General features: G+C 34.1%; 1 long non-coding RNA gene across 52 annotated transcripts in view; it reads right to left on the bottom strand.

Moving 5' to 3' along the window:
- RMST (rhabdomyosarcoma 2 associated transcript) overlaps window positions 1-13,309 on the bottom strand; it is a 102,232-nt gene that overhangs the window by 26,063 nt on the left and 62,860 nt on the right. For 47 of the 52 annotated variants that reach the window (NR_186054.1, NR_186102.1, NR_186098.1 and 44 more), the window contains one exon: window positions 8,114-8,318. This is a non-coding gene — a long non-coding RNA (rhabdomyosarcoma 2 associated transcript). Of the gene's footprint in view, window positions 1-5,207; window positions 6,298-8,113; window positions 8,319-13,309 lie in introns of those variants that run through there. The other 5 variants (NR_186096.1, NR_186093.1, NR_024037.3 and 2 more) reach the window with 1 other exon arrangement.

Genomic DNA, 13,309 nt, shown 5'->3' with positions numbered 1-13,309 from the left:
AGCCATTCCCAGCCCCTCCGGTTTTCCTGGGCCAGTTAACAGTATGTCAACATTTCTGTACCTAAGATGTAACTAGCTGTGAATCATTTGTGAATCATTTTCACAAATTTTTTATTTTTAGTATGAGACTCCATTGTAATTCTGCAGGATCTAAACCTGTTTTAGTGAACCCAAATTACACAAAACTTTGGGGATAGAAATTAGCATAATTGAAATAATTCAATTTTTGGTAATTATGATTCTCACTTAAACCTAAATTAAATGTGCCAAACTATAATTATGTTCAAATTTGCATCATGAAAATCACCCCCATTTAGCTCGTGGCATCTTAAAATATCTAATAGGGATCTTAAACTCTTAAGGTTGAGTAAAGAGGCCTTATTTTCACAGGCTTTGGGAAGAGGAGACTTATTATGCATTAAGCACAGTTATTTAGCCTCTTGGGAAAGGAAAGATGGGTCCATTATTTCTTCACTACCTGATGTGCAGGATTTGTACTCTAAGCTTCAGATACCTCTAACTTACACTGCCATTAATGAGTTCTGAGTGCCACAGCAGAAAGTAAAGATTAACGCTTTCTTTCAAGAAAAACCTTAAGCAAAGCAGGTCATGCATTAGGACAAAGGTAATGGAAACCAAAGACAAAAAAGGCTGTTAACACTTTAAAACCGGGCACTAGAAAATAAGCACTGTTTTGCTATCCATTTTTAAATGATTAAAGATTCAAAACAACCTGAAGGCAATGAGAATTCACCTTTCAGTCCTGTGAATTGCTCACTGATTCTTAACAATCCTAGGATCAAACCTTTATTATTATTTTTGGGGGGTGCAAAAGGAAAACATCCATAAAATATTACTCAGTTAAGCTGCCTGTTTAACTAACCTTTCTATTATTTGATTTGATTAAATTAACCAGCTGATGTGATTAAGCTTGCAAGGTGGCTTATCCATCTTCATCTTTGGGATGGTAGGTGGATATAATCTTCAAATATATTGATCAAGAAATAGATGTGTCTGGATGTACAGGGCTGGCATATTGTCAAAGCACATAATGAGTTTCCCACAAAAAAACACATGAATATATCTCCAGTTGAGTAAAATATTCACATTAATACCAGAATAAGGCAGAAGAACCCTGGCTGACATCCCATCTGTTCTTATGAATTAAATTTAGAAATCATATGTAATATAGACATTTCTGTCTGAATATCATGAAACCCTGACACATCCAGGCTCTCATTAGAAAGCTCCATGATGTGACTTGAATAACAATCTGTCTCACCTAATTAGTATTTTCAGTTTAGCATATGCGCTTCCAGACATATTGCTGTTTGCACATGGTAATTTGGGTAAACAGATACCATCCACAGCTGCATCAATTAACACTGCTAATCAAAACTGAATTCAGGTAATTAGGCACATTTATGCAAAAAAATGTGTAATTTTGCAAAAAAGCGAGATTCTTCAATAATATGTCAATGAGTAAAAATCTCCTTTTGCTCGTGAAGATAAAGAATGAGACAAGAGAAATCATCATTAATATATACATCATGCAGACAGAGTAAAATTCCTAAATTAAATCTCAGTCTTTAATTGGCCTGTATTTTCAGAAATTGGATCATATTTTTTATAAATGTTTTCCTCAATGTTTCCACATAGTAAAGTTGATTCACATCTGCCTAAGGGTTTAATCATCAAGCAGGACTCAAATGGTTAATGAATTCTAAAGTATTTATATAATTAGAAAGGATTTTGGTCAAACTTGATCTTCCATCTTGTCTAGCATCTCTTAGGGAAGATTCTCTCAGTATGTGTCATTTTATTACACACTTTAATTTTCTCTGCTACAAAACACTTTCATTTGTAATTAGAATCACAATAGCAATTTATTTTCCTGCAAATATTCTTCAACTTCTCTGATTCTACACAATGCCCTTTAGTTGCTTTTTCATTCATTTTCAAAATGAAGACTCTAAGTTGTTTTTCCTCTCTCTCTCTCCAAACATAAACCAAACTGATCATTTTGATTAAATATTTTAATCGGTTCAGAAAAACTAGTTTCATTGTTGTGAAGTAATAAGTGGCTAACTAGTGACCAACAAGTTCTGGCTAAGGGGAGATTTATGGGCATAAGTTAAAGCTAAAGTAAAGAAACCTGGATCATTTTAAAAAGCATCTGAAGTAGATATAAGAATAATCTAGGATGGAGATTATTTGTGTATAATATACACACTCACAAATTTCTACTTCTTTTTCCTCCTTCAGACTTTGAAGCTTAGGTTTATTTCTTAGTGTAAACACCAGGCCTTTATAATGAAGTACTGGGCTCAGTGTCCCTACTTTTATCTTAATGGTAATAGTCACTTTCAGTACAAGTTGACAAACACTTCCTCACTCTCTACCACATATCAGCATCTCTTCTAGGCCCTGCAGATAAATATAGAGATGGATTTAGACTGACCACACTTCTCTGTGTCAACTTCAGAGAGTTTACAAACCAAAAGAGACAACAATGAGAAGGTTGATGAAATCACCAAGTGAAAATGAATCTGTCAATCCCAAATTTTTGGAACCACCTGGTCTAATTTTGCAGAAGTTTACTTTTTGCATAACTCAAGTTAATTCTTTTATTCTCATAAGAAAAGGAGAAAAAAAGTTTTTTTTTCAATTATTTTGCATGTTTTTTCCTCACATTGCAGCAATACTGTACTTCTATATTTATTTTTTGATATTTATCAAAAATATTTTTTCCACATATTCCTTTAAATGCATTTGTCATAAACAATTGGGCAATTCCTGACAGCATAGACATCTAACAGACTTATACTCAGTTTCAAGAGCAGGAATTATAAAATACAGAGACACATTTATCAACAGGTTGTCAAACTGCTCACACCAAAGAAACCATATGAGGTAGGACAGATGCCTCTGACTTTAAAATTCTGTTAAACATAATTATTTATGAATTTTAAAAGAAAGATAGGTAAACACAAGCATTTTAAAGACAATTTTTTAAAAAGCCTAATGATTGGTTTTCAATGAACTAAACTATTAATATTTGGGGAGGAAAATGTCTTCTGTCTATGAAATAAGCCCACTGAGTAATGTTCATTGCATGGGTGACCCAGTGTATTACTCAAAGCACTCTAAACTCCCTCTTCTCATACTTCCTCTAGAGTGAATCAGTACAGAATTAATTACCTCATCGTAGTTCCTGAGTTTTAGTAAATTCCTTTTTCTGTGGAAATGGTTTAAATTCATCTTGCAAGAATCCTGTTCTCATAGTCTCCAAGTTTTAGCAAAGTGGAATGCTATGATTATCCCAAAGACAGCTTTGGTGAAGGAAAGGCTTCACCAGCTCCTAAACCAGGCTGTGCCACTGACTAGCTATCTGACTTCAGGTAAAACCTTTGCCAATCTGAGTGTGAGTTTCTTGTTTATACAACATGGCTCATAGGCTCACCTCACTGGATTGGGGGGAGTACCTGAAACATAGTAGGTGCTTAATAAAGGCTTGTTGAAACTGAATAAAGGTTAGTCAATGATGGCTCCAGAAATGCTAATGCTGAAGGCATTTGAGTTAAAAGTATCTTTTTATGAAGTTCTCTGATTCCAAAGTAATACACAGAGATAGTATGATAATTTTAATACGAATAGCGTAAATTGTATCAAATAGGCCACAGACCACTACGCTATATTAGGTCACCTTCCAACTCACTTGAAAACTAGTCCTAGAAAACTAATCTTCCCAATTAAGTTGGAAAGTTAACATTGGGACACTTATTGTTTCTAGAGCATTTTTTATGATTTTATTAAACAAATTACAAGAAGTAATTCCACTGACCATTATTAAACAAATAATTTTATTTTAGAATTATTGTCTGTTAAAGAGGATAATCTTGAAAAATTCATGTGACTACTTTTTTACTATGAATAATTTTTTTAAAAAAACCTAGAAAATCCTTGAGTCTGCCACTTGCTATCTCTCCTTAGTCCAGAAGAATAAAATCGCTTATAGTACATCTACTCTAAATTTCTGTAAAATTAAATTAAATTGCTGACTCATAAACAATGCACAACAAATAAAACAACACCATTGGTCACTTTTTAAAACAGTCTGCTTTTTAAACAGAAACGCTCCAGCTAAAATATGCAGTCTATAAAATATCAAATGGATTAATCTTGGCTTATTCATAGCAAAGAATGTTATTTCACAGCTATAAGAGAAAATGTCAGGGCTGGGACTGGGTGGATTAGGTGGAAACCGATTGATAGAAAACAAAGGCAACATAAAGAAATAAAATGTCTTCGAAGCACACTGAAGCAAAATAAATTATTGGATCTGGGATTTAGCAAAGTATAATCTTATTTTCCTTTGCTCTTTCACCAACACTTTTTTCTACACTGAGACAATATGAATTTCACCTTCCAAACCCATGATTTTCTCTAATAAAAAGACTGCTAATAATTAATGACAATGTAGAGAAGGATGTTATCAGTAGTTCAGCACATTAGCTTTTTGTGCTTTAGAGAATGTTGTATTTATAACCAATTTTAATACTGAAGATTATTTTCATTTAGTTCTGTTAAGAGGTAAAATAAGATTAATCTAAATTAGAGAAGATAATTAAATTATGTCCAAAGAATTAATATTGCTTACTTTAGAGATATAAGTTAGTGGTCATGTTTATCTTTTAGTTAAAATTATCTTTGATAAGAAAACAAGTATCATGAAACAACTGAATTTTTTAAAGTTTGACAACTCAATGTACTGAAGCTAAAGCTGATAATCTACACTTTATCAGACAAGGTACAGAACAACGTATTTGTTTACAATTTATGGTTGAACACTTGTCCCACAATTAAGAATTAGGAAATTATCCTTACAGCAAACAGATCTTAGTTAAACATATTATTAATCTATGCTTCAAGGTATTATCCAACTCTCTGGAGGATGCCAGAGTGACTTTGCCAGCTGAATAAGCTCAGTCACTCTATCACAAGTTTTTCATCTTTGACTTTCTTCACAGGCTTGGAGTAGAAGCCTACCTTTCAGAAGGATGTTAAAAGAATACATGAAAAGCTTGTGCAAAAATAAACTATAGCACCTCAGGCTTCTTAATTTTTACACTATAATGCCTTGGACTTTTCTACCTTGACAGATTCAGAGTGAATTCTTTGATGAAAAAAGAGAAATAAATTACATATGGAAGGAAGAGAACCTTTATTATCATTTTAATAGTTCACAGATACATAAAAGGCAGACACATTCACTATGTGGTGGGACCTAAGACTAAAAATATTCACTGACTTAGAACTAAACAAAATTAACATGATATGAAAAATGGAAACAGTTTTTTGAAGAAATGTGAATACACAACTTTTCACCAAGGCTTAGAAAATTTAACAGAGAAAAATAAAACTAAACCATTAAATGGCATTGCAAATAATTCGTTAGCTTCTCCTACAGCATTTTTGAACTTAATGAAAATACTGAATATATTCAGAAACTGCCAGAGATCATGGAGAATGAAATTCCAGACATCAGAAATAATCAACTTTTAGAAACTGCTTCATAAGCAACTGTACCAAAAAGCACGCATTTCCAGGAGACATCATGTAGATTTAACATGGATATGATATGCAATTTCGGTGGTTGGCACTGAACTAGAATAGAGATGTCATTGTTATTTATTCCTAACCCCTTCAGGACATCCCTAGGTTGTTTTTCTATTGGGAGCATGCATTTTCAGTGTACAGAGATTGGCTTCATGCTCCGTGCTTTTGTTGGGATGGTGGTTTTGATGTTTCGAATGCAGGCAGTAGTGCTTGGGACTCTTCCTATATGCTCCCAATTATCTGTAACGTTATTGTATATTCTCTGCCACCAGAATGCTTTTGCGAGAGCTATGGTCCTTCTAAAGCAGCATACCACTCAGAAGTGCAAAAATGAAAATTAAAATAGGAAGATTTTCTTCTTATTATTATTTGAATGACATACGACCTGCTCGATGTTTGCATTTAAATTGAGCAGAATAATTCAGCTCTGGCTTTTAATTTCAGAAGGGTTAATCACCCTAACAAAGGTCAATCAAACTTTAATCTTCAATAAAATTGCTACAGCCCCAATCACCTGCAGGACATTTATTATATTCCCATTTCCATGTGAAAGAATGCATTGCTTTCATTATGTATCACTAATCTTCTCACTCTTTACATTAGCACATTTTACCAAAAAACGTTAATTCCTTTGAAACTCTGACAAGAGTTCATTTCTACACATCTCAGGAGATAATCCTGTTTAAAAAAAAAAAAAAAAAAAAAAAACGGGACATCAGCTGTGAACCACTTTCTGGGCACTTTCTAATCCTCACAGACCTTCAATACTCCAACAGAGTTCTGACAATACCAAATCTCAATTACACAAAATATTATGGTGGTTTAGGTTAAAATAACAACATATGACTTTAGGAAGTTAATCCTCCCTATTGTCTGTAATTGTCATCTACTTATTTCTATTCATCTACTTATTTCTATTCACCTACTTATTTCTATTCACAATGTTTACTGCATACAAAACTTACTGATTTGGAGGAAGCAAATGTTAACCACCTTTGAATAACAGAGGAAATATTTAGATTCATTGATTCATTCATTTGATAAATACCTACTGAATGCCTATTATGTGCCAGACATTGGGCTAGGGGTGGGGAATCAAAGTTAAGGAAACAAAAGAGAAACAAAAAGATAGTTATTAAAAGAAAAACATTCTCCTGTAAACATGGTGTCCAGAATATAATAAAATAATGATTTAAATCTCCACTTTCAGTTTTTCTTACTGATGAAATTAAATTTTAGTGAAGACTAGAAATCTGTTAAGTCAAATTTCCACCAAAATTTTGATAAACAGTGTCTAAAATTATCTGGACACTGAAAGGCTTTAAAATTCATAATGCCATAAAATGATTCATTTTTATTTGAGAATATAAAATGTGATTGTCAAATTTTAAAATGAATATATTGATAATGTCTCGTCTCCCATGATTAGAAATAAAACCATGAGAAAGCTTAAATGAGCTTATTAAAATAGATATGCTGTGCAAAATTTGTTTCCAAAATGTAATTTCATAACATTTAAAAACTGCTATTAACACAAAAGACAATAGTAATGGGCAAAAGACAAATTATTGCATTTTGCCATGATATAGTGGCCCAGATAACCATGGAGGGAAAGAACCTTAATATACGTCCCCGATTATATTGCAAATTGATTGCCTTGATATTGTAATGGTGGTGTGACACAGCATAAATAACCCAAACTTGCCTTCTGCATATTTTTTGAGACCTCTTCCTCCCTCTTTGTACTTAGATTAAGTGCACAGCCACATACACACAGGCACATGCCCTTCCTCATCAATATTCACGCTCATTAATTAGCAATACAGGAAGACTATCATTTGGGAAACTCCTCAAATCTTAAATATTCAATCAAGCAAAGCAAATCACAGTAAAAAGAAAATACACGTAAATAGTCTATGACCAGACTGGCCCTGGAAAATAGAACATAATTTCAAGAGATAGTCGTCTTTATAAATGTTGTTTTAAAAAGCCCCAATTATGTTGTGCGACTTAAGTCAAGACCTTAGCTTTCCTTTGAGCATGTCTTGAAACGAAAATAGAACCTCTACATATTCTATAACTACACTTTGCTTTTTTTTCCTTTCCTAGAACTAGTTGACACAATAGAAAATAGCAGAGCAACGGCTTTTACATTGTTGAGCAAAATAAATCCAACGCTACACAATATAAATGTCCCATTGATATTTATTACCAAATACTTATTCTGAAAACTGATAAAGATTAGTTAGACTCAACAGAGAAAATATTGCTTTATATTCCATTTTCATCATCAAAAGCTGTTTAGTTATATTATGAATTTACAGATTTAGGAAAAAAAAAAAAAAGCTTTCAGAGAATATGCTATAAATGCCCGAAAAGCATACGGATCTTTTTCTGAATCATTTCGGTCAAGAAACAAAAAAAGAACCCATGAACCATCAAACAAAAATCTTAATAAGAAAACCTAGGATGTGGAATTATGAAAGAAACATACCTTTGGCCGAACAAGTTCGCAATTTCTCATCTTGCCTACACAGCTCTGTCGTTCCACCTTGAGCAAAAGTCAACTCCGTGTCCCTTGTGATCTCTGTGACAAGGCCATCATATCACTGGCAAATTTTTCGATTAAACTTTGCAGATGTAGTAGCAACTTTGTTAATTATGACATTAGCCAGCTGGCGGGTACGATCAGTCACCCACTGCAAGGAAAGCCAGACAAAGAGACATCTAATCATTGCAACCAGAGCAGATAAATTTTGTTCCTTTCTCATACGTGTCACAGATTCTATTCCTTCTGACCCTCTCCTCAGCCATCGACTGTCACATTTAGATTCCGAGAGCTTCCAGTTTCCCTTTATCCCTGCCTTAGATCTGAAACTCCTGGTTATCAGGAAGACATGCGTCACCAGCTGTCTCGGAGCAGGAAAGCAATCAGGTGAATACTACTTATTATCTTGCATTGCTTTCCGAGGAGTGACAAGATTGATTTGGAACCAAGAATACATTCAGATCTCAGACAGTAGTTCCTAGGGTTTTGAGTTCAGACAGTAGGGTATGTGCTAAGTTGCAACAGGGAGGACTGCAATCCCAATGTTAAGGCTACAGGATATTAGAAATTTAAGGAAAGTTTTAGAAAATTGATCACAGCTCCTTTTTCAGATGCCCTTGTATTAATATTTTCTTCTCTACCTCTGTGCTATGTTGGTGATGCCTATGAGTCAACTGTTACCCAGCAGAGCCAGCTTTACAACGAGGTAGCCCAAGTCAACCTGTGGAATCAGTATTCTGACATTGTGAAATTATCTCCATCTATCCCTTTTTCATGAAGACGAATACTCTAAAAATTCCAATTCCTGAAACTTATCTTTGCTAAAAGTTCAAATCATATTTTTATATAATAACATTAGAAAACTAATTTAGGCATGTCAGCTAAAAATAACATACAAATTTAAGCTGGGGGAAGATACAATTACATTTTAATACAAATTTTTCCTTCAAAAAGTCTGTCTACTGAAATCATATATTAGTGTGTATCTATTGATCGATTGATATACACAACACTTGCATCATGAATTTACTGAAATCTCAATATATATTAGGTAATGCGTAGAAGCATTCCTACAAAATGATGTAACAATATTTTTCAGAGCGTAGCATCCAATGGAGGAGCAAAGGGCTTGATCTACATGGTAAGCCGTTATCTTGATGCAATTTTTACCAAAGAATTACCACGAAAATGTCTGAGTATCAACAAAATAAAGTTTGCGCAGCAGAATTTGAAAGAGAATTCTATATCATAAAGTAATAAAGTTATATTTATCAATAAATTAGTAGGTCTTTCTGGGATGGGGAAATTTAGGGAAAAGTTAAAAGGTGATTCTGAAGTTAATTTTACCTAAGAATTGTGTATATTTGGCTGCCGAACACAACACAAAATGTTTTATCTCTCTCTGTGAAAACTGCAGTTGTGGTGCACTATATTAATAATTCATGACACATATCCTAAAATACATTTTATTTTTACATGAGAACACTCCTGCCATGGAGGGCCCAAAATCTCTGTTTAGCTTAAAGTGCTGCAAAGATAAACTGATAAATGTATTTAGATGCAACCTAAGATATAAAAATGAGGATGAGATGATTTAGGGATTCCTGAAACTACAGAGCAAGGTGTTTTCACCCTGGGAAGACAAAAAGGTTTCTAAAGTCCCACCAGAACTGGCATGGGAGGGAGAAAATATGATTTCAGAAATTCTTAGAAATTATATATCTATATCTATATAGATATAGATATCTTGCTGAGAGTAAGATACTCTTTATCCTTTGTGTCTTGGGCTGATAGTAAGAAATGAGTCAGATTCCATAAAAGCAAAAGAACAAAAAAATCAGAAATAACAGGACAAGAGTGTGTTGTGGCACAACGTCAAGGACAAAGAATCTGTGATATGACTTTCAGTGATGCCCTATTTGGAAATAAGCTGTTTCTATCCCATCCATTATCATAGCCTTGGCAACTGCTGTACAGCCTGGCACATAGCCGTTTCTCAAGAAATACATGTCGATGAAGAATAAATACTTACCTTGCATATATCATCCTCCTCAGCCCACTCACTTACTTTTAAAATTAAATGATACAAAAATTCACTCTTTAGGCTTTATATGGATTACCCATATATTAATGACATATGTATTCAAACTTATATCTTTACAATACTGAAAAGAGTTTATTCCTAAAGAGTTCAAAGTAGACATTTCTCTTAAGATTTTAAAATAAGCATTAATAATATTCACTATTTGTTCCTATGAAAATGACTTTGATTCAGGGAGTTAGAATGAGTCAGAAAGATCTTTACTCTTTGAGTGGAAGAGGGGACAGTTTCCTAGGAAATGCCCAGAGAATAAAATAATGCTATGTACACAATGTTTTTTCATTGCAATAGTATCTATAAGAAAGAATGGAAACAATGTCTCCAAAGAAGGAAATCAAGAAATAAATTTGGCAATTAATCATAGGCAGTCATTATATGGTAATAAGAAAGACTGATAAAACCAACTTTTTATGACTATACTGAATTTAAAAAGCAGAATACAAAATTGTACATATATTGATTACTGAGTATATTTGAAGAAAGACTGGATGGAGAAGTGTTAAAATCGAAAATATGTTTTGTAGAATTAGAAAGCATTTTCTTCTTTTACAAAAGTTTGCTTTAATGCCATTCTAATTGTTAATCTCAAAATGTAGAATCAAAGACTCCATCTGTAAAATGGGAACAACAATAATAATTGTAATACTTACCTCACAGGTGCTTAATATTAAACCAGTTAATGTATATAAAACTCGGCATATTTTCTGACCTACAGGAAAACTCATTATATATCTTAGTTATTATTTTTTATTATAACCATCATATAAATAATTCTGACATATTTGTGCTACACCTTTTATTTTTTTTCTGTGAAATATTACCAGAACTTCACTGCATTAAATGAGGTACTCTGAAACAGGAAAACTCAGTATTCAAAACCTAAGAAACCAAACACAGAAACATGGTCTACATAGTAAAATTGATTTATAAAATAGTAACAGCAATAATAATAAAACAATAGATATGGAGGACTTCAGTTAAAATTATAATTTCTATAAGACCTACATGACTTATAATTTTACTAGACCTGTAGATCGTACAATTTTGCCTTTTTTATGGCTGCTTATGGCATACCTACAAAGATGCAGAACTGCTGGAAACAGATTAAAATAGGAGAAGCTGACCTGGAGAAATTGGCATTGCCTTGAAGAATCTCAGCACTCTTACTTTTCTTAGCACTCTTACTTTTATTTTCTAATGTGGGGCACTTGCTGATTTCTGCTCCCTGTGGCCACAAAGTCCAACTCGGAGCAGTCACCTAAGGCTGTTCTTTCTCTAGGACATGCAAGCACCACATGTTCCATTCTCATTGCTGCCATTCTAATGACAATGGGTTGTTGAAGGTATACATGCAATGTACAGGTGTGGAATGTTTTAACGGTTGAAGCAGTTGGTGAGAACAAAGCAATCTAGATTTGGAAACATTCTCCATAGAGAAGAGTGCATTCTGGATCCACACGGCTCCTCTCTGCTACAGATGCTTTTTATCTTTGTGCCCCACCAACTGTCTTCCGTTGGTCCTTGTGACAGCCCTTCCTATCCCTCTTATCACTTCAATACGTTTAATTAAGCCTCATATGTATATTAGTTTTATTTCTGCCTTCCAGCCTGTTAGATGTAGAATCAATACCTGAAACTCCCTTCTCTGTCGTGAGTCACAAGAGTCAGACATCCTGCTTCCAGGCCATTCCTAGCTCCTTGCTTACTAGCTCTGGGACTTTGGGCAAGTTAGTAAACCTTACCAAGAATCTGTTCAACAACAACAACAACAACATCTCATGGTGCTATTATGAAGACTGTGACTAACACATGTCATCTGCTTAGCACATGGTAGATATCCAATAAATGCACTCTCATTGCCAAAGTAGCAACAGAATCACCAAGAAACAGTACAGTGTAGCAAACAAGAGCAAGGGATCCAAAGACAAGCATCTTGGGTGAATTCCTATCCTAGCTTTCTCACTCAAATCAGTAATAACAACAACAATAATAATAGTAATAAATAGCTTCCTCTAGATTTTTAAGAATTAAATGTATACTTATAAATTACTTACCACATAGCAAATATTATTTTCAATTATTATTATTACCCTGCCTCCTATGCTACTTGGTTATTTTTTCCCCATTGCTTAGAGAGTTTTAGTAAAAATAAATCAGGACTTTGAATGTGAAGACCTGGACATCTATATAGTCACATATGCTTGATAATACATGGACAAGGATCATAGTTGCAGCACTATTTATGACAGCAAAAGACTGAGACTAATCTAAAAAGTCACCAAAGGTAACTGGTTAAATAAAGTATGTTATATTCATACTGTAGAATGCCATGCAGCCATTAAAATGAATAAAGTATAAGTAGGAGTACCGATATGAAAGTACTTCTATGATACATTTTAAGGAAAAGAAGAATGGTGCAGAACAATGGGTATTGTATATTATAGCTGTCTCCAACATTTTTGGCACCAGGGACCAGCTGCACAGATGATAATTTTTCCATGGACCGGAAGTGGGGTGGGGGATGGTTTCAGGATGATTCAAGCGCATTACATTTATTGTGCACTTTATATCTATTATTATTACATCATAATATATAATGAAATAATTATACAACTCACCATAATGTAGAATCAGTGGGAGCCCTGAGCTTGTTTTCCTGCAACTAGATGGACCCATCTGAGGGTGATGGGGACAGTGACAGATCATCAGGCATTAGATTCTCATAAGGAGTGCACAACCCAGATCACTCGCATGCACAGTTCACAACAGGGTTCGCACTGCTATGAGAATCTAACGCCACCACTGATCTGACAGGAGGCGAAGCTCAGGTTGTAATGCAAGTGATTTTGACTGGCTGTAAATACAGATGAAGCTTCTCTCACTTGCAGGCCACACACTTCCTGCTGTGCAGCCTGGTTCCTAACAGGTTACAGACCTGTGCTCTGGTTTGTGGCCAGGGGATTAGGGGCCCCTGGTATATTACCCTTTTGTTTAACAAGGCTTTTGCATATACTGTTTATTTATGAAGATATTTCATAACT

This window comes from Homo sapiens, chromosome 12 (assembly GCF_000001405.40).
Source record: "Homo sapiens chromosome 12, GRCh38.p14 Primary Assembly".
In the NCBI taxonomy this organism is placed as follows: Eukaryota; Metazoa; Chordata; class Mammalia; order Primates; family Hominidae; genus Homo; species Homo sapiens.
This window is presented reverse-complemented; position numbering and strand designations above follow the sequence as displayed.